General features: G+C 56.5%; 1 protein-coding gene and 1 non-coding gene across 4 annotated transcripts in view, besides 8 other annotated features; both read right to left on the bottom strand.

Annotated features, from left to right (window-relative positions):
- Window positions 268-517: a silencer, noted in NCBI's record as "silent region_20393". NCBI's record gives its function as "represses an Ori minimal core promoter by ATAC-STARR-seq in GM12878 lymphoblastoid cells {active_cell/tissue: GM12878}" and the evidence as "EXISTENCE:reporter gene assay evidence [ECO:0000049][PMID:35858748]".
- Window positions 708-757: an enhancer, noted in NCBI's record as "active region_29125". NCBI's record gives its function as "activates an Ori minimal core promoter by ATAC-STARR-seq in GM12878 lymphoblastoid cells {active_cell/tissue: GM12878}" and the evidence as "EXISTENCE:reporter gene assay evidence [ECO:0000049][PMID:35858748]".
- Window positions 808-1,489: an enhancer, noted in NCBI's record as "H3K27ac-H3K4me1 hESC enhancer chr9:132647083-132647764 (GRCh37/hg19 assembly coordinates)". NCBI's record gives its function as "activates a minimal SCP1, AML or CMV promoter by ChIP-STARR-seq in naive H9 embryonic stem cells {active_cell/tissue: H9 hESC(naive)}" and the evidence as "EXISTENCE:reporter gene assay evidence [ECO:0000049][PMID:30033119]".
- Window positions 808-1,597: a biological region, named in NCBI's record as "H3K27ac-H3K4me1 hESC enhancer GRCh37_chr9:132647083-132647764".
- Window positions 1,288-1,597: an enhancer, noted in NCBI's record as "active region_29124". NCBI's record gives its function as "activates an Ori minimal core promoter by ATAC-STARR-seq in GM12878 lymphoblastoid cells {active_cell/tissue: GM12878}" and the evidence as "EXISTENCE:reporter gene assay evidence [ECO:0000049][PMID:35858748]".
- Window positions 1,589-1,883: an enhancer, noted in NCBI's record as "tiled region #12063; K562 Activating DNase matched - State 5:Enh, and HepG2 Activating DNase unmatched - State 1:Tss". NCBI's record gives its function as "activates a minimal TATA promoter and a strong SV40 promoter by Sharpr-MPRA in K562 cells, with weak activation in HepG2 cells {active_cell/tissue: HepG2 | K562}" and the evidence as "EXISTENCE:reporter gene assay evidence [ECO:0000049][PMID:27701403]".
- The window catches only part of USP20 (ubiquitin specific peptidase 20), a 46,371-nt gene continuing 33,081 nt past the window's right edge, over window positions 4,465-17,754 (bottom strand). For 2 of the 3 annotated variants that reach the window (NM_001008563.5, NM_001110303.4), the window contains exons 12-26: window positions 17,291-17,431; window positions 16,868-16,983; window positions 16,449-16,621; window positions 15,746-15,840; window positions 12,778-12,811; window positions 12,549-12,594; window positions 11,537-11,717; window positions 11,338-11,464; window positions 10,814-10,983; window positions 10,652-10,733; window positions 10,055-10,163; window positions 7,853-7,955; window positions 6,649-6,720; window positions 6,004-6,180; window positions 4,465-5,826 (exon numbers count right to left, since the gene is read on the bottom strand). In NM_001008563.5, coding sequence (NP_001008563.2) covers window positions 6,020-6,180; window positions 6,649-6,720; window positions 7,853-7,955; window positions 10,055-10,163; window positions 10,652-10,733; window positions 10,814-10,983; window positions 11,338-11,464; window positions 11,537-11,717; window positions 12,549-12,594; window positions 12,778-12,811; window positions 15,746-15,840; window positions 16,449-16,621; window positions 16,868-16,983; window positions 17,291-17,431 — 1,610 coding nt within the window. In that variant the 3' untranslated portion in view covers window positions 4,465-5,826; window positions 6,004-6,019. Of the gene's footprint in view, window positions 6,181-6,648; window positions 6,721-7,852; window positions 7,956-10,054; window positions 10,164-10,651; window positions 10,734-10,813; window positions 10,984-11,337; window positions 11,465-11,536; window positions 11,718-12,548; window positions 12,595-12,777; window positions 12,812-15,745; window positions 15,841-16,448; window positions 16,622-16,867; window positions 16,984-17,290; window positions 17,432-17,754 lie in introns of all 3 variants that reach the window. The other variant, NM_006676.8, reaches the window with a different exon arrangement.
- Window positions 11,428-11,928: an enhancer, noted in NCBI's record as "H3K27ac hESC enhancer chr9:132636644-132637144 (GRCh37/hg19 assembly coordinates)". NCBI's record gives its function as "activates a minimal SCP1, AML or CMV promoter by ChIP-STARR-seq in primed H9 embryonic stem cells {active_cell/tissue: H9 hESC(primed)}" and the evidence as "EXISTENCE:reporter gene assay evidence [ECO:0000049][PMID:30033119]".
- Window positions 15,574-16,073: an enhancer, noted in NCBI's record as "H3K4me1 hESC enhancer chr9:132632499-132632998 (GRCh37/hg19 assembly coordinates)". NCBI's record gives its function as "activates a minimal SCP1, AML or CMV promoter by ChIP-STARR-seq in primed H9 embryonic stem cells {active_cell/tissue: H9 hESC(primed)}" and the evidence as "EXISTENCE:reporter gene assay evidence [ECO:0000049][PMID:30033119]".
- MIR6855 (microRNA 6855) lies at window positions 16,622-16,688 on the bottom strand. The gene has a single exon (NR_106914.1). It is a non-coding gene; the product is annotated as a microRNA 6855 (primary transcript).

Genomic DNA, 17,754 nt, shown 5'->3' with positions numbered 1-17,754 from the left:
TGTCAGCAAAAAAGTCCACTTGGGAAGAATATTTCGGGACTGCGCCCAGCCGTCTGTGGGGCGGAGACGGGCTGTCTCCACCTGTGAACCCCCCCATGCCCCACCCGCCCCTGCCGAGCCTTCTCCAAGAGCCGCACCAGCGCTGAGAAGCCTAGAACAGAGCCTGCTGGTTTGGGGCCCCCATTTCCGCGGGTGTGGACATCACAGAGGTCGGGAGCATTGGGGGCGACTAGTTTGTTTTCTGCTGCACTGGGGAAGCCTCTTGAAGTAGGAAGTTCCTGACTCACCGGCTCCGGGGAGGCCACAAGCCTGTGGGGCCGGCTCCTCCAGCGGGTCAGGAAATACCGGCCCGCCCCACGCCCTCCACCCGCCCTGGGCACGCCCGGGCCTGGGAGGCGGCTCCTCCGTCCGCAGAGGTGGTGGGGACCCCTGGCGGGAGCAGACGGCAGAGCGCAGCAGTGGAGGGAGCAAGAAGGGCCCCCTGCGATGAGGAACGAGATGGCGGTGGACAGAGGCAGGATTCGGTCGTGCCCCCAGCTTTTTTTAAATTGAAGCGAAAGACTCAGAAATCGTGAAATGTATGGGACAGCCTGGAAGCTCCACTTTGAACTGCTGCTGCCAGAGAAGGATGGTGGGAAAGAGCCACCATCCAGACGGGTTCCCTGGCTCTGCGCACTCGCCTGGGGGAGGCCTCCTTTTCCCTGGTCCTAAAACGCTTTCCCGATAGGGGAGGCAGGGATCTGTGTTGCCAGCGCCCTCTGAGACCCGGGATGAGCGTGTGAAGGCTGCCAGCAGGCACGTGGCAGCCCCTTGGTGTGTCAGCTGCTTCTCCAGGGTCCCACTGAGTGCCCATTCGGCCTTGACTTGAGCACTCCTGCCTCCCGTTAGACCTCCAGATGGTATAGTGACCTCCGCCGGGGACATCTCCGGACCACAAAAGGTACAGAAGAAGCAGAGGAAGGACCCTATCCTTGTCCTCAGAGCTAAGGGGCCGAAAGCTGTGGGAGGAAACACGGACCCACTGTCCCCGTCGGGGATGGGGAAGGCTCCCTTCCTCCCTGCGGCACCTGCTGGACGGACGTCTCAGCCTAGGACAGGGCCGCATCCCTTCAGTCCGCACAGCCCCTGGCTGCCACGCTGTGCCGAGCCCTGCCCTTGAGAACCTGTTTCCAGTTCCAGCTCTCCACAGGCCCCCTCATCTAGGCTGGTCCCGGGTCAAATCGAAGGAAGGAATGGAGGCTGCACCCTGAGAAACCCTGGGACACCCTTCCAGAACATACATTGCCTAGGCTGTCTACTGCTCCTAGCTTTCCCCAAAGGCGTGTGTTTCTTCTGCGCCCAGCTCACCCTTGCTCCGTCCAGGTAGCAGGTGTCTCTCTGTGTAGGTGAAGTTGCAGAAGGGACGAGCCAGAGGGGGCTGTGATTCCGAAACCTCTGCTCACTTCCCCCAAGGCTCTCTGGGGCTCAAAATTAGGTAGCATTAAGACCCTCAGGATAATTTATGTTTGCACTGAATTTAAAACAGAACAAAGGTAGGAACTACACTTTTTGGGTGGCTGCGCCTTGCAAATGTATTCGGATGCAGGTTTGTGAGCAGCGCCATGGCCGACAGAACCACAGGCAGGCGGCAGGTCTCCTGCAGCCTCCCCCACGGTGCAGGGGCGCCTTTCCGGCTCCTCTAAGAAGCGCTGCTGAAGCCACGCCCTGGCTTAGCGCGGAGGAGGAGCCACCGTGGGGCACCGTGGGGAGCGAGGCCTGAGCCCCGCCTCCCCAGTCACCGAGCACTTCCTGTCCCTGCTCAGTAATCAAGCACAGACTTCAGATCTTGGCATCTCAGTCTGAACTCCTTAAAAGCCAGGTATTTTAAAAGAAACGTTTTAAGGCAAATTGGTACCTATTTCCAGCCCACCTTTCTGTAGTGCAAGAACTGTCTCCAAACCTCCTAAATAAATCTTCCAGACAAAACTTTCATTCTCATTTTCCATGTTCAATGTCAATCACGTGGATTGACACATATCTAACCTTCAAATGTAAACAAAGCCAAAAATATTGCTTAGAGATTCCCACATAAAGACAAAGGTTGCTTTTTCCTCTTCCGGGAACGCTGTCTACAGGCACTCAGCATGGCCCAGTTTCCCAAACCGTCATAGGCTTTCCTAGAATACAGCCTCTAACAGCACTAGGCCGGCCCGAACCCCTGGGAAGAGAATCGTTTACCTTTATACCAAGATTGGGAAACTGCCAAAGTCTGCACATGGCATGGGCCTGGGCTGACTCCGAGGGGTTTGTGCTGTGAGACCTAAAGCTCCTATGAGACTGCCCCAAAGCAAAAACATGTCAGCAAGCGGCCAGGCGTGGTGGCTCACGCCTGTAATCCCAGCACTTTGGGAGGCTGAGGCAGAAGGATCACTTGAGCCTAGGAGTTCGAGGCCAGCCTGGGCAACACAGTGAGACCCTGTCTACAAACAAAAAACCCATCAGCAGTGCATCTGGTGCTTCTGTGTGAACGTGTTCCCGACAGGATCAAGTGTGCCTTCCTCATCAAGGAGCAGAAAGTTGCTGGGAAGGTGTTAAGGGCAGGAGCACAGTCAGAAAGCTCAATTTTAAAATGATGTTTTGGCCGGGTGTGGTGGCTCATGCCTGTAATCCCAGCACTTTGGGAGGCTGAGGCAGGCAGATCACAAGGTCATGAGATCGAGACCATCCTAGCTAACACCGTGAAACCCCGTCTCTACTAAAAATAAATAAAATAAAAAATAAAATTAGCCAGGCGTCGTGGCACATGCCTGTAGACCCAGCTACTCCAGAGGCTGAGGCAGGAGAATTGCTTGAACCCCAGGAGGCAGAGGTTGCAGTGAGTTGAGATTATACCACTGCACTCCAGCCTGGGCAACAGAGTGAGACTCTGTCTCAAAAAATAATAATAAAATGAAGCTTTTTTCAGGAAAAAAAAAAAAAAAAAAGGCGGGATGAGGGAACCACATGCAAAGAGCCACCTCTGGGGTCAGGCAAGGTGGCCGACTCCGGAGGGGCCCCAGGCTTTCCATGGAACTGGCAATGTGTCATCTTGGTTCCTTGTCACCGTGTTATCCTTGCATACGCTGAAATGTTTCTGTACGCTCGTATCTGATAGCGGCAGGGAAGCAGAAGCCTAGGGGAGCCAGGGTGACATCATTTTGAGTTCGGCTCCACCTAAAACTAGCAAGGGAGGCTGGGCCCGGTGGCTCACACCTGTAATCCCAGCACTTTGAGAGGCCGAGGTAGGCAGATCGCTTGAGGTCAGGAGTTCGAGACCAGCCTGGCTAACATGGTGAAACCTTGTCTCTCCTAAAAATACAAAACTTATCCAGATGTGGTGACACATGCTTGTAATCCCAGCTACTTGGGAGGCTGAGGCAGGAGAATCGCTTGAACCTGGGAGGCAGAGGTTGCTGTGAGCCGAGATCGTGCCACTGCACCCCAGCCTGAGCAACATAGCGAGACTCCATCTCAAAAAACAAAAAATTAGGCACAGTCCAGGCCAGTCACAACCTAAGATGTTTACGTCTGAGGAAGCAGCTACGTAACGCCTGCGAGGACAAACTCCTACGATGGAGAAGGTTCAGATGCCACACAACAGTGTATGCTTGAAGATGACCACAGTGAGGCTTCGATGTGCTTATGCACTAAGATGCCAAGGATGGCTTTCTTTAAATCAACAGAGCAATCCACTGTGTCAGGCTGTCAGCCCACCTGACAGACACAGCGTAGCTTTTCTATAGCTAAGACCCCTACATAAGAGGAGTTGAAAACAGCGACGGGCATCCCTCCACTTGCTTTCTGAGGACGCTCTACTCTGTACCTGAGCAGCTTTCAGTAAACTCTTCTCAGTGAACTCTGCGACTCACCTTGAGTTTCTTCCTGCATGAGATCCAAGAACCTTCTCTAGGGGTCTGGATCGGAACCCCTTTTTCCTGCAACAATGGGATTTCACAAATAAATGTTGATAAGTTATATATAAAAATCTCAAGTTCTTCTCTCCCCCAAAATGAGACCCAACAAAAAACTCAGACTACTGAACACCAGTATTGCTGAACGCCCAGGGCCAGTGTGCAAAGGGGAGGTAACCCCCTGCTCACGGCCACTCTGGAGCCGCCTGTCTGGGTGGCTGGAGGGAGACTAGCCTGTGGGATGTGCTGGCCTCAATCACTGGCCACATCTGGCCCTACTTCTCTGAGGCTGGGGCTGATTCCAGGAAAGGAGATGCCAATAGGCCTTTATAGCAGCTGGGTCCCCTCTTCTGCTCACCTCCACAGCCTCCAGGTGGTCTCTGGTTTCAGAAAGCCACATGGAAAGCCCCCTCCTGGGCCTGGTGATGTGCAATGTGAGCCCCAGGGCTTGGCGGGCTGTCCGCGTGGCGGAGAGCCTCACCTTCCCTCCAGTAACAGAACTGCAGTGAAGGAGAGACGACTGTGTGGCCGTGGGAACATTTATTCTGTGTTTATTCTGACATTTTGAACACAAACTAGACAGCACAGACATGGGGCCCGATCCCAGCCTGCACAGAAGCCTCTCTGCGTCGCGACAGTGCAGCGTGCGGCCTCTGGCTGCAGCGCCGGCTTTCAGAAGGCTGGGGCCAATGCCAGGGGAACCCCAGGCTCAGCAGGGAGGGAGCAGGATCTGGGACAGAAGATCCGAAAAGTGAGGCCTCAGGGCCTCTGCGGGACCCACCTGCTGGAATTTCCACCACCACCTGCTTCTACAAAGACTGATAGAAACAAAGACGCAGTAGTGTGGGGGGTCTGGTCCCAGAGCCCCTTCCCCACCCACGCCCCGTCTGCTTTGATCCTGATGATGGTCGCACCTCGCCCTGGCGGTTTCTCCAGGGGCTTTGGTGCCTTGCTGTGCTCAGTGGCTCCCTCCACTCAGCATCCAGAGGCTGCTTCCCAGGATCCACCTGAGCGCTGCACCCTGCACAGCCCCCACATCCCTCCAGGTGGGCTCTGCACTGCTGCTGCTGGGAGGAAGGGAAAGTCTGTCTTCTTTAGCATCAGCTCGGGAAGCTGCCTTTGCCTCAAATGGCCAAGCTGTGAGGTATCCCTGTTTCATCATCCGGTTCCCTGGTGGGGGCTCAGCAAATTTCCCATGAAGATGAACTGCTGAACTTCGAGGCAAATTACAGCCAATCCAGGGGGCAGGCTCAGCAGGACGCGGTGTGGGGGACCAGCTGCCTCCAGAAACATCCCCCACTGGCAGAAATCCAACCTCCTCCTGGTGTTCCAATCAGCAATGAGTCCAGAGTCTTCAGTCTGCAGGAGAAGTGCTGAGAGCAGCCCGGGACTTCAGAGCCTTCCTGGTGACGCCCAGGAGATGCAGAGGTGCGGCGGGACCACCAGGGAGGACCTGTGAGCTCCTCACTGGCCAGGGCTTCTGGCTGCGCTCACCGGCCCTGAGCAGCTCCCTCCGAGTCTTCGGGGCTCCGGGCCAATCGCACAGTGGAGACGCCGTGAAGCAGCAGCTACTCCCTGACTCTGGCCCAGGCCGCAGCCTCTGTCTGACAGGGGTAGCATCGGGCTCCAGGGACAAAGCTGGGCCGAGCTAGCAAGAGGACAGTTGTGGGGGACACAACGATGACAGTGACTGGCAGAGGCACTGCCAGGACAAAGACCCAAATTAACGTCACAGAGTCTTGGTCGTTTCAACAAGCCTGAAGTGCATATATTTTCTAGTTGCAGCGTTACTGCAAACCAAACCAACTTTTCTGCCTCTTTACACGGCGGGGTTCTGCAGCAGCCCGGCCTCTCTTCTGGGCACAAACACGCCTTCCGCGGGGTGGGGCACATGGGGCTGTGGGGACACGGGCACTCAGCAGTGGGGCCGGGCCATGTCCAGGGCCCTCCCACATCCTCCAGGAAGGTGCTTTCAGGGACCTGCTCTTTGGATGTTCAAAAGGACATGTGAGGGTCTCTGGAGAGTGAGGAGAGGACCCAGAGTGCCATGGAGGGACCAGCCGGGGCGACTTACAGACTAGCCCAGCAGATCACACGGCCCGCGTCTCGGCTTCGATCTTCTGCTCCCCGTGCAGGTTCTCTGGGCCCAGCGGCTGCGCCACACTCTGGCGGATGGCAATCTCGGGGCCACCTCCATACAGGCTGTTCAGGTAGGTCCAGGTCTCCTCCGAAATCTGCCCGTAGTCAGCTCCTGCAGGGCACGAGAGGCACCCCTAGGCTCACCTTTGCCTCCTCAAGGAAGCCACCGGCCTGGGCAGTGGGGGCTCCGCAGGGCCAGGCCCCGAAGCGGGAAGACGGCAACCAGGGCTTCTATGCAAAGCTGTCAGATGGAAATCAGGATTTCCCAGAGGAATGTCCATCCCGCTAAGGGCCCCGGATAACACATCTCTGGCTGTGTCCCTTGTTCCTGGGGGTGGGGCTGACATAAACAGCAGGGTGGGCAAGGCCAGCAGCAGGCAGAGGGGTGGGACCTGGAGGACACAAGCAGAGACCAAGCCCCTTGGGCCATCTCTCAGCCGCCTGGGTCTGGACTCAGGTGGACGTCTCAGCCTGACTCTAAGACAGGTGGTAAGGGGGCTCCTGGAAGGACGGGACTGGGCAGCAGCCTGGCAGCCAGGAAGGGCAGAGAGGAGCCTGGCTGACCCCAGGGGGAACTCACCCTGCTTCAGCTGGACATGGCCGCTTCCTTTGACCTGTGCAATCCTGCTGTTGTCAATGGGCCCGGGGGGCTCTGCAACAGACACAGCGGGCTCGGGTTCAGCCCCTGCCATGCCCTCCACCCTCCACAGCAGCAGAGCCATCCCAAGTGGGGCCGCCCCAGGCCTGGGGGTCAGCGTGAAGTCTCTAATGGATGAGGCGCCTGAGCCACCCAATGCTCCTCTGTGGCAGTCTGAGGACCCAGCAGAGGGAATTTCCAGGACACACGAGATGGTCTCAGACTCTGTGCTGGCCGCAGGAGCTGCGGTGGATGGCCCATGCCCTTATCTCTGCTGGCAGCTGCCGCTCACCACGCCCCTTCCCCTCTGCCCAGCTATCTCATTTAGCCTCGGCAACCACAGGACAAGACAGAGGTTTACAGAGACAGAGCCGAGGCCTGGGAAGGTGAAGTAACCACTCAGGTCATAGCTGGTAGAAGGCAAGGCCAGCGTCCAGGCCAGGGCGAGGGCTCCGGAGCTACATTCTCAACCACAGCCATGCTGAAGGCCTCAGCCACCACCAGAGAGGCCTCACGGTGGCCCTGGCACCTTCCCCGACTAGCGGGATGGCAATGAGGCCTCCCTTCCCAAGCACAGGTGGGTGCTCATGCTCCACACCAAGGGTCCCGTGAGCAGAACCGTGGGCTCTACCCACCCTGCCGGGCCCCGGAGCCACAGGTTAGATTATGCCCCGAGGGCGCCCCAGCCGAAATTTTTAATGCAGGTTTAATAGTTTAGAGCCTGTGGGCTTCCATGGCTTGGTTCTGCTGTTCTTCACTGGGGACTTGGGGGACCCTGGGAGCTTGTGATGGGGCCTGTCTCCACCTCTGTAAATCCAAGGAGTCAGATGACAAATCTGTCATTTCGGGCGACACACTCCCCTGAGGAAAGGGCCTTGCAGGAGGGCAGAGCAGCTTGCTGGGCATGGCAGGGAGTGGAGAAGGGCAGGGGGCGCAGAGCAGGAGCAGCTTCCTGCCTCTGGGTGGGGACAGTGATCCCCACTGGGGACTGGCAAAGCCCCATGCTCTCTGTTCACCCTGGATGGGTGGCACCTGGGGGCAGGCATGGGGCCTGCAGGAGCCCCTGTGTGCCAGCCCTCCCCTGCCAGCATCCCATCTCCCAGGAGGCCCCCAGGGCAGGTAAGTGCCAGGTCCCCCCTCAGCTCACCGTTGTCCTTCCCCTTGACGAACGCCTCCCACTCCCGGAACCACTGCATGCTGATGCAGTAGATGACGCCCGGCGACTCCTCGGCCTGGAAGGCCTTGTTCAACTGGCAGGCGGGCAGGGACGGGAGGAGACAGAGGGCAGGTCAGTCTCTATTTACCTTCAGCAAGGATTTCCCAAATGCCCCCGCCCCAGTCCCTCACCCAAGAGTCTTACAAAAACACCAGATACTCAAGGTGAAAAATCAAACCCCCAGACAAGCTCAAACAAAATGAACACACCCATCACTCAGAGAGGACGGTGGTAACATTTTGTGGGTCTCTTCAATAACTGTTTGACCCAACTGAGACCACAAGGGAGATTCTACTTTTTGAGAAGGAATCTCACTCTGTCACCCAGGCTGGAGTGCAGTGGCGCGATCTCGGCTTACTGCAACCTCTGCCTCCCAGGTTCAAGCGATTCTCCCACCTCAGCCTCTTGAGTAGCTGGGATTACAGGTGTGTGCCACCACCTGGCTACTTTTTGTGTTTTTAGTAGAGACGGGGTTTCGCCATGTTGGCCAGGCTGGTCTTGAACTCCTGACCTCAGGTGATCCGCCCACCTCGACCTCTCAAAAGTGCTGGGATAACAGGCATGAACCACTGCGCCCGGCCTGGGAGATGCTAATTTTCTCCGGTTGAATAGAATGTGCCTATCTGCTCAGAGAGGCAGCTCTCCTTCTGACAGGAGCATTTTCTTTTTCGAGATGGGGGGTGGTCTCACTCTGTGCCCAGGCGGGAGTGCAGCGGCGCAATCATGGCTCACTGCAGCCTTGACCTCCTGGGCTCAAGTGATCCTCCCACCTCAGCCTCCTGAGTAGGTTGGACCACAGGTGCATACCACTAGGCCCAGCCCTGACAGTCTCTTTTTCGTTTGTGTTCTGAGACAGGGTCTCACTCTATTGCCCAGGCTGCGGTGCAGTGGCATGATCACGGCTCACTGCAGCCTCAACCTCCCAGGCTTAGGTGATCCTCCCAACTCACTCAGCCCTCCAGGTAGCGGGGACTACAGGTACACATCACCATGCCTGGCTAATTTTTGTATTGTTTGTAGAGATGGGGTTTCGCCATGTTGGCCAAGTTGGTCTTGAACTCCTGGGCTCAAGTGATCCACCTGCCTCGGCCTCCCAAAGTGCTGGGATCACAGGCGTGAGCCACCATGCCCAGGCAGCAGAATCATTTCCTAATGGCCACAAAGCACGGGCGTCCCTCAGTGTCTCTCACCAGGCCCTCCCTGTGAGTGGAACACGTCCTAACCCTGTTAGAAGTAGCGTGGCAGGGAGGGAGTGCGCCAGGAGCCTCGCCTGCACTCAGCTCCCTCACAGAAGTCCCTCTTCTAAACACAGTCACACTTGAGTCCTGGTTTGCACCTTGGTTTTCACTTCCTGCTTTATCTTGGGCAGTCTGTAGAGCCCAGTGGTTCTCACCCAGGGCAGGGAGGGTACTCTGCACCCCAGGGGACCCTGGGCAATCTCTGGAGGTCATTTTGGTTGTCACTAGCACTAGTGGGTAGAGGCCAAGAATGCTGCTAAACATCCTACAATGCACAGGACGGCCCCACAATAAAGAATAATTCAGCCCAAAATAACACAGCCAAGGCTGAGAATGGGATCCATCTACTGGTTCTTTAAGCTCAACAGCACCCGGGCGATGAGGCTTCACTTACTCAAGCCAACCCTCCCACCAGGAAAAGCCCTCCTAGACACCTGGCCATCTAGTTCCCCGCAGAAGACTCCTTTCTTTTCTTTTTCTTTTTTTTTTTTTTTTGAGATGGAGTCTTACTCGGTTGCCCAGGCTGGAGCGCAGTGGCACAATCTCAGCTCACTGAAACCTCCGCCTCCCAGGTTCAAGCGATTATCCTGCCTCAGCCTCCCAAGTAGCTGGGATTACAGGCACCTGCCACCAAGCCCAGCTAATTTTTGTATTTTTAGTAGAGACGGGGTTTTGCCATGTTGGCCAGGCTGGTTTCAAACTCCTGACCTCAAGTGATCTGTTCGTCTCAGCCTCCCAAAGTGCTGGGATTACAGGTGTGAGCCACCATGCCCAGCCTCAAAAGACTGCTTTCAAACTTGCTCAGGGACTGCACAGGATTCTTCTGTCCCCAAGTCCCCAGCTGCCCCAGGCAGAGGCTGGCAGAGCCGCCCCCGCGCCGCCTCGCCGCACGCACCTTGATGAAGGTGTCGATCTCGATCCTCCTGCGCTTGGCCAGTGCCTCGATCTCCACCTGGCAGATGGAGCACACGTACAGGTGGTTCACGGCGGGGCCACCCCCGAATCTGTGCCCAGGGTGGGAGAGAGAGACACGGCCTGAGCGGGGTACCAGGGAGGGGAGAGTGATCACTGCCTTCCACTTCCCCCTCAAGCCATCAGTGCCCCCTCAGCGCTGTCGCAGGCCTGCATGCACCTCTGTGTGAGCACCACAGAGCCTGCAACGGAGCAGCGCGCCCACAGCCCAAGGGAGGTCCTGCTTCAAGGCTGAAGAGCAGATGGCCAACACACTCAGCTGTGCTTCAGCAGATGGCCAACACACTCAGCTGTGCTTCAGCCAGTTTCCTGTCCCTTGCCGCTGGAAGGATCCAAGCGGATTCCCACAAACGACATGTGTCATTCTCCATGAGACAAGTGAAGGCGGCTCTGTGCTGCCCACGTGGAGGCCAGAGTGTGGTGTGGGGTCCTGGTGGCATTCCTTCCCTGCCCTCCCCTCTTTTCCTGCCCAGCTGGGCCCTGGACAGGACGGAGACAAGTTGGCCTCCCAGGCTCTCACCTGTTGTACAGGTGCTCCCAGACGTTCTGGGGCAGGATGACCACCAGGTCGTCGATGTAGTGGTATTTGTGGGGCGGGATGCCTGGGAAGAAGGTACAGGGAGCGAAGCTGTGGCTCGGCCCAGCTGCCCACCCTGCTCTCCCACCACAGGGGGCGCCTCACCTCCGTGGGAGCAGAGGAAGGTCTGGTTGGTGATGGGGCCTGGCTCCGCGAAGGTGTTGAACTTGTTGAGCCACTCGCGGGACACGTAGAACCGCAGCAGGCTGGGCTCCCGCATGGCGGCCAGGGACACCACCTGCTGTCGCTCCCGCATGGCCTCCTCGCTGCTCTTCCTGTGGGGTGAGGAGGGGGCGAGAAGCTGTGCCTGACGGCTGCCACCTTCAGACACATGCAGAGCCCCCATCCCAGTGCACCTCGGGCTACCGGCCCTGTCCACCACCTCCTGGGTCCTTCACGGGTCCTGGACATGTGAGCAGCCCCCTGTGCCGCCAGCCAGGGCCCTGGAGAAGGCTCCAAGCTGCCTTCCTGGGTTCCCCACAGCAGCCAGAGGGCTGTTTCTTAACAATCCAAGTCCTTACTTCCCTGGCTTAATCCAGGCGCTGTCCCCTACACACACCCAGAAGGCCCATGGGTCCCAGGGGACGGGGATGGTGAGGTTCCTCCACCAGGCCTGGCCCAGCGCCCACCTGTAGAAGAGTACGTAGCCCTCGGCGTTCTGCACCACCGTCTCGTGGACTTCTGTGACGTACTGGTCATCAAACTCGTACCACTGCCCATTGATCACGTTCTGGCAGTAGGCGATGTAGTGCCCACCTGCGGCGGCAGAGCAGACGGGTCACAGGGATCCTAGCGGATGGGGACGGCAGGGGAGGGGACATGACTCACTGCCTGCCGTGCCGTGGTGGCAGATGACCGAGAGGAGGTCGTAGGTGGTGATCTGGGATGTGCACTCCTTGGCAAGGAAGGGGCGCAGGTCGAGCCCCTCGAGGGGGAAGGAGACGTGGCTGTTGATCTTGAATGAGTACATCACCTCGTGCCGAAAGCGCTTTAGGTGAATGCACAGGATCTGCGGGGACAGAGAGAGCGCCGGTCATCTAGGAAGAAATGATGCGGGCCCTCGCAGCCTTGCCCACGGGCCCAGGACAGCTGATGGGATCATGCAAGCTGACTCCATTGGAACAAATCCAAGAGTTCCACGTGGGGGCCAGACTGGGCTCGCTCTAAGTCACACAGATCACTCCCAGCTCCACTGCTGAGAACTGGACCCCAAGAGCTGCAATGAGCCATCAAGTTTACCAGTTCTGTCGGCACTACCTTTGAGAAGCCACAAAGCCTCCCCGAGCCACCACAGCCCCAACCTGGGCCCCCTCTGCCAGGGCCCTCTCCTCTTTGCTCCAGCCACACGTGCCTTCCTTGGTGCGGACAAGCCTGCTCCTGCACTGGGGTTTTGTCTGTTCCTTCTGTGCCTTCCATCCACGACGCTGACACCAGCCTACACCCTCCAGGCCCCACTCAGACGTTACTCCTCAGAAAGACCCCTGGCAACAGCCCCAGCTGGACCAGCTCTCCTCCCGCCACTCTGCAGCTGGCAGGAGCCATAGCTGTCTCACTGGGGGTGGTAACCCAGTGTCCCACACACCTGCCTCCCATTGGGCCCTCATACAACATGTTAGACAACATGTGCTGAGGCTACCGAGAGAGGGCACCAAGTCACAGTTGGAAAAATGTGCCCCCTGCCAACCCTTCCCAGAGGTTTCTCAGCCAAAGCTATGGAGTCTCCACGGCCCCTGCAGCACAGAAGTGCCCGAGCAGTGGAGCAGGCTCAGCCCCTGCCTGGTGTGTGCTGGTGTGCATCCCGAGATAGCTGAGGAGGAGGCTGCCGAGGCCACTGGCTCACCTCGGGCAACCGCAGGACTTTGCAGTACTTCACTCCGTTCCGCAGCCTGGGGAGGAAGCACGAGCCAGCATCAGTGTCCGGCATCAGGGCCAGGGGCCAGGGAAGCAGCCCTCCACCCGGCTCCCTTCTGGGAAGGCAGGATTATAGGGGGCTCTCTGCAGGAACCCAAGGGGAATATGTAGGGCACAGAAACGGCAGTTAGGGAGAAGGCGGGGGAAGGCTCACTTACTTCTTACACCGCTCACAGCTGTACATGTTGTCACCTAGGGCAGTAAAACAAAGGGTCAGAGGTTAGCAAGGATGCAAAATGAGGGAGCAAAAAAAAGTGACTATAATGATTTCTGCTTAAGAAATAAAACCTGGCTGGGCATGGTGGCTCATGCGTGTAATCCTAGCACTTTGGGAGGCCGAGGCGGGCGGATCCCCTGAGGTCAGGAGTTCGAGGCCAGCCTGGCCAACATGGCGAAACCCCATCTCTACTAAAAATACAAAAATTAGCTGGACGTGGTGGTGCGTGCCTGTAATCCCAGCTACTCAGGAGGCTGAGGTGGGAGAATCGCTCGAACCTGGGGGGCTCGGGGCAGAGGCTGCAGTGAGCTGATGCCACTGCACTCCAGCCTGGGTGACAGAGTAAAACTCCATCTCAAAAAAAAAAAAAAAAAAAGAAGAAGAAAAAGAAAAAGAAATAAAACCTGAGAGGTACTGGAGGGAGGGAAGGCCCTGGCTGGGCCCCACAGCCAGAATCCATACAAGGGAGAAATGGTTATATTTGACCCCAGAAATACTTCAACATCTGTAAGATACCACCAAAAGCAAAATTAAAAGGCAAAAGGCAAAATGGAGGTGGGGTGGGAAGTGCAACATTAATTACAGAAAATGTATTTGAAACAATTTTTTTGAGATAGGGTCTTGCTATGTTGCCCAGGCTGGTCCCAAAGTCCTAGGCTCAGAGGACCCTCAGCCTCCGGAGTAGCTGGGGTCACAGGTACATGCCACCATGACCAGCTTAAAATCTTAATGTATAGTTTCCCCCTCCATGCACACTGTGAAAATTAAGTCAAAATGGGATCAAAGATCTCAATATAAGACCTAAAACTATAAAACTTTTAGGAGAAAAGTAGGAAAAAAGTTTCATGACATTGGATCTGGCGATGATCTCTGAAACACAACACCAAAGGTGCAGGCAACCAAAGCAAAAGACACAAACCACAGAATGAAACGCACCCTACAGGATGGGAGGACAGGGTTATAAGTCACGTATCTGGACACATAAAGAACTCCTCTAACTAACGAGGCCGGCACCGTGGCTCACACCTGTAATCCCAGCACTTTGGGAGGCCAAGGCAGCAAATCCATTTGAGGTCAGGAGTTCGAGACCAACCTGGCCAACATGGCAAAACCCCATCTCTACTAACAATACAAAAATTAGCCAGGTGTGGTGGCACGTGCCTATAATCCCAGCTACTCGGGAGGCTGAGATGGGAGGACTGCTTGCACCCAGGAGGCGGAGGCTGCAGTGAGCCAAGATCATGCCATTGCACTCCAGCCTGGGTGACAGAGTGAGACTCTGTCTCAAGAAAAAAAAGAATCCCTATAACAAGCAACAAAAAACAAAATAGGCAAAAGACTCACATAGATGTTTTTCCAAACACTTACAAATGGCCAACAAGCATATGAAAAGACACTTAACATCACTATCATTAGGAAATGCAAATCAAAACCACAACGAGGCTGGGTGCGGTGGCTCACGCCGGTAATCCCAGCACTTTGGGAGACCAAGGCAGGCGGATCACCTGAGGTCAGGAGTTCAAGACCAGCCTGGCCAACATGGTGAAACCCCATTCTACTAAAAATACAAAAATTAGCCAGCCGTGGTGGCATGTGCCTGTAATCCCAGCTACTCGGGAGGCTGAGGCAGGAGAATCGCTTAAACCCAGGAGGTGGAGGTTGCAATAAGCCGAGATCATGCCATTGCACTCCAGCCTGGGCGTCAAGAGAGAGACTCCGTCTCAAAAACAAAACAAAACAAAACAAAAAAAACGCACAATGAGATACCACCTCATACCCATGAGGTTGACTCCCATCAAAAAAGTAAACAAAATGAGTGTGGACGACGATGTGGAGAAACTGGAACTCTTGTGCGTCACTGGTGGGAATGTGAAATGGGGTGGCCACTGTGGAACCCAGTACGGTGGCTCCTCGAGAAATTAAAAATAGGCATAGACCCAAAGGGATGAAAGAAGAGAGGTGTGCACACCCATGGTCAGAGCAGCATTCCTCACAATAGCTAACAGGGAAGCGGCCTGAGTGTCCACTGACGGATGAACGAATAAGCAGAAAGGCCCCAGCCATCCACACAATGGAACAATAAATAACCAGCATACAAAAGGCAGGGCATTCCGACACACACGCTGCAACGTGGATGAACCCTAAGGACGTTATGCTCAGTAAAAGCCGTCAGTCACAAAATGGCAAGTACTGTATAATTCCACTTCTATGAGGCCTTTAGAGTAGTCACATTCACAGACTTGAATGTGGAGGTTGCCAGGGGCTGGGAGGTGGGAGTAGGGAGCTGTTTCACGGATACTGAGTTTCAGGTTTGCAAGATGTAAAAGTTCTGGAGATGAATGGGGAGGATGGCTGCGTGACCATGTGCATGTATTTAACACTACTCGACTGTGCACTTTCTGTTAAAAACAGCATTTACAATGGTTATGGTGGTAAATTTTACATTTTGTGTATTTTATCGCAATTGAAAATTGGAAATAAAAAAAAAAGAGAGAGTTTTCCCAAAGGTTTAGATGCCAAATAGCCAACGGAGAAAAAGAACAAGAACAGGAATGGGCAATGTTTAAATAAATACATAGAGCCAGTATATTTAACAAAAAATGTAGAAACTCATCAGTAATCAAGGAAATGAAAAATTAACATACATCATTTTTGCCCACCAAATTGGTAAAAATAAAAATAAGTGAACACTCAAGAGCTGCAAGATGATGGGGTTGGGATAGCACATGGCCCTGGTCCAGCGTGGCTGGCAGTGGGCGTGGGTATCTGATGGGATCAACCTTGGAAGCCAAGTCTAGCCTGGCTGTGCATCCCACAAGCCCTGGGCTGCATGCTGGCCTGCTGGGGTCTGCACATCCCCGTCCCCACAACCCTCCACCTCCCCGACCCTTGCCAGCCAGGCCCCTCACCCTTTAACTCATCAGCGGCAAAGAAGGCAGCAAGGCAGTCTTCCAGGGTGACGACAGGCCCCCAAAACCAGCTGGGGGTACAGGATACCACAAACCTACAGACAGAAAAGGAGTGCAGGGGTGCTGCCAGGGCCTGGGCAAGAACAGGAGCTGAAGGGACTCTGGCTGAGGTCTGTCAGGCCTGAGCCGCAGAAGGACCCTGAAGGCCCAGAGAAGCAGCCGGGCACGGCGGGTCGGGGCAGAGGCCTGGAGCCAGACACGTCCGTGTCCTGGGCCGAGTGACATCATCTCTCCGCAAGCCTGGCCTCCTTCATCTGTGTTGCGGCCATGATCATGCTACCCCCTCCCTGGGGTCATGCGGGTCTCTGGCCTCAGGCAGGAGAGGCAGCCCTGGGAAAGCTGCTGCCCTTCCCGCCAACCAGGCCTGTGTCCTGCTGCTGCCCTCCCTTCAACCTGCCATGTGGTCACCTCCCTGCTGTCCATCGCCCTCCAGCTCCAAGGGACTATCCAATCCTGGCCACTTCAAAGTAGCCAAGAAATCCCCTGCATATTAAGCCAACTCCTCTGCAGGCTTCGGCCCCCAGCTCCTCCCAGGACCTCCCTGGTTCCCCAAATGCATGGACTTCACTGTGTACTGTCTCCCGCCCAGGAAAACCAGGACAGGCCCAGCCCATGTCGCCCAGTAGTGGCAAGGTGGGCGCACCGTCGGATGTACTCCACAATGAAGGCCAGCCAGCCCTGGGCGGCATAGCTGTCCCCACAGGCGCCTGGCTTGGCCGGCACATTCTGGTAGATGGCTGAATGGAGCTTGGCCAGGTCCTCCTTTCCAGGAATGGGCAGTGATAAGTCCTGGAACGTTTCCACTGTGGTGGATACCTGTGGGGTTGAAGGTCAGTCTGCTGCCCATCCTCTGGCAATGTCTGCACCCCAAACCCCAAGCAGCAGGTGAGGGGCAGAGGGACTACTCCCCAGGCCATAGACACGGGATCCACGCAGGCAGGGCCCTCCCCTGGATAAAAGCAGGGAGCACCCGTGGAGAGCCCACCCTGCACCCAGTCAGGGCAAGAGCTGCTGAGGCCACTGGCAGCCTGGCCCAGCTCCCCCCATCCCTGGGGCACCCACCCGGTCACAGGTGAGACACTGCACAAGGCTGAGAATGGAGCCGTCAAAGATGTCTGAGATGACGCTGCGGTAGCGCTGCTCCTTCCGCCTCCGGCTGCCAGCACTCAATACCTGGGCTGGGGACACAGCACAGGACTAGCCCAGCCTCCACCTGCCTGGCCGGGGCGAGGTGCGGGCCCTGCGGCTTCCTTTGACAGGATGTGGAGTGACATCCGTGAGTCACATGACTGGGTAAGCAATTCACCATCTCATGCCTCTGTGTCATCCTCTGCAAAACGTGGCTCCCACACTGGTGTCTCAGGGGTGTACCTGAGAGGAGCCCATAGCCCGGCCCTCCGCCACAGGGGGCCATGAGAAAGGCAGCTACGGGCGTAATCTGTACTCCCAGCCTCAAGCTGACCCACCCTCCCGTGCCCCCCGAACCTTTCTTGAGCACGTACGACGGTGCCATCCTCACGGGGCTTGCACGAGGGGGGCTGCTAGACAGCTTGGCATGGCCCTCGTGGTGGTGGACGGGGCTGCAGGGGCGAGAGGAGCTGCGTAGGTGAGCATCATTGTCCGGCTCTGGGGGCAGAGAGGGTACCATGCTGGGCCAGGGCAGCCAGGCCAGCTCCACGAGTGGGCAGGAAGATGACCTGCCAGCCCCTCCTAAAGGGACGAAAGCCTGACCCTAATGTGTCTCCTCTGTCATGTGCCCACTCCTGGCCCCAGCACACAGGCCGGAGCAGACCTGTCCAATCCATGTCCGGCTGGAAGGCTCAGGGCTCTGGGAGAGGGCTCTGAATTGGGCTCCAGCATTATGAGCTAGGGGACCCTGGGCACATCACTGAGCCCCCCCGGAGGCTGACTTCCCCACTGTCATTCGGGTCTAGTGAAGAACCCGTCCC

The sequence above is a fragment of the Homo sapiens genome, chromosome 9 (assembly GCF_000001405.40).
Source record: "Homo sapiens chromosome 9, GRCh38.p14 Primary Assembly".
Classification (NCBI taxonomy): Eukaryota; Metazoa; Chordata; class Mammalia; order Primates; family Hominidae; genus Homo; species Homo sapiens.
The sequence above is the reverse complement of the archived record's forward strand: the minus strand, read 5'-3'. Positions and strand labels throughout refer to the sequence as shown.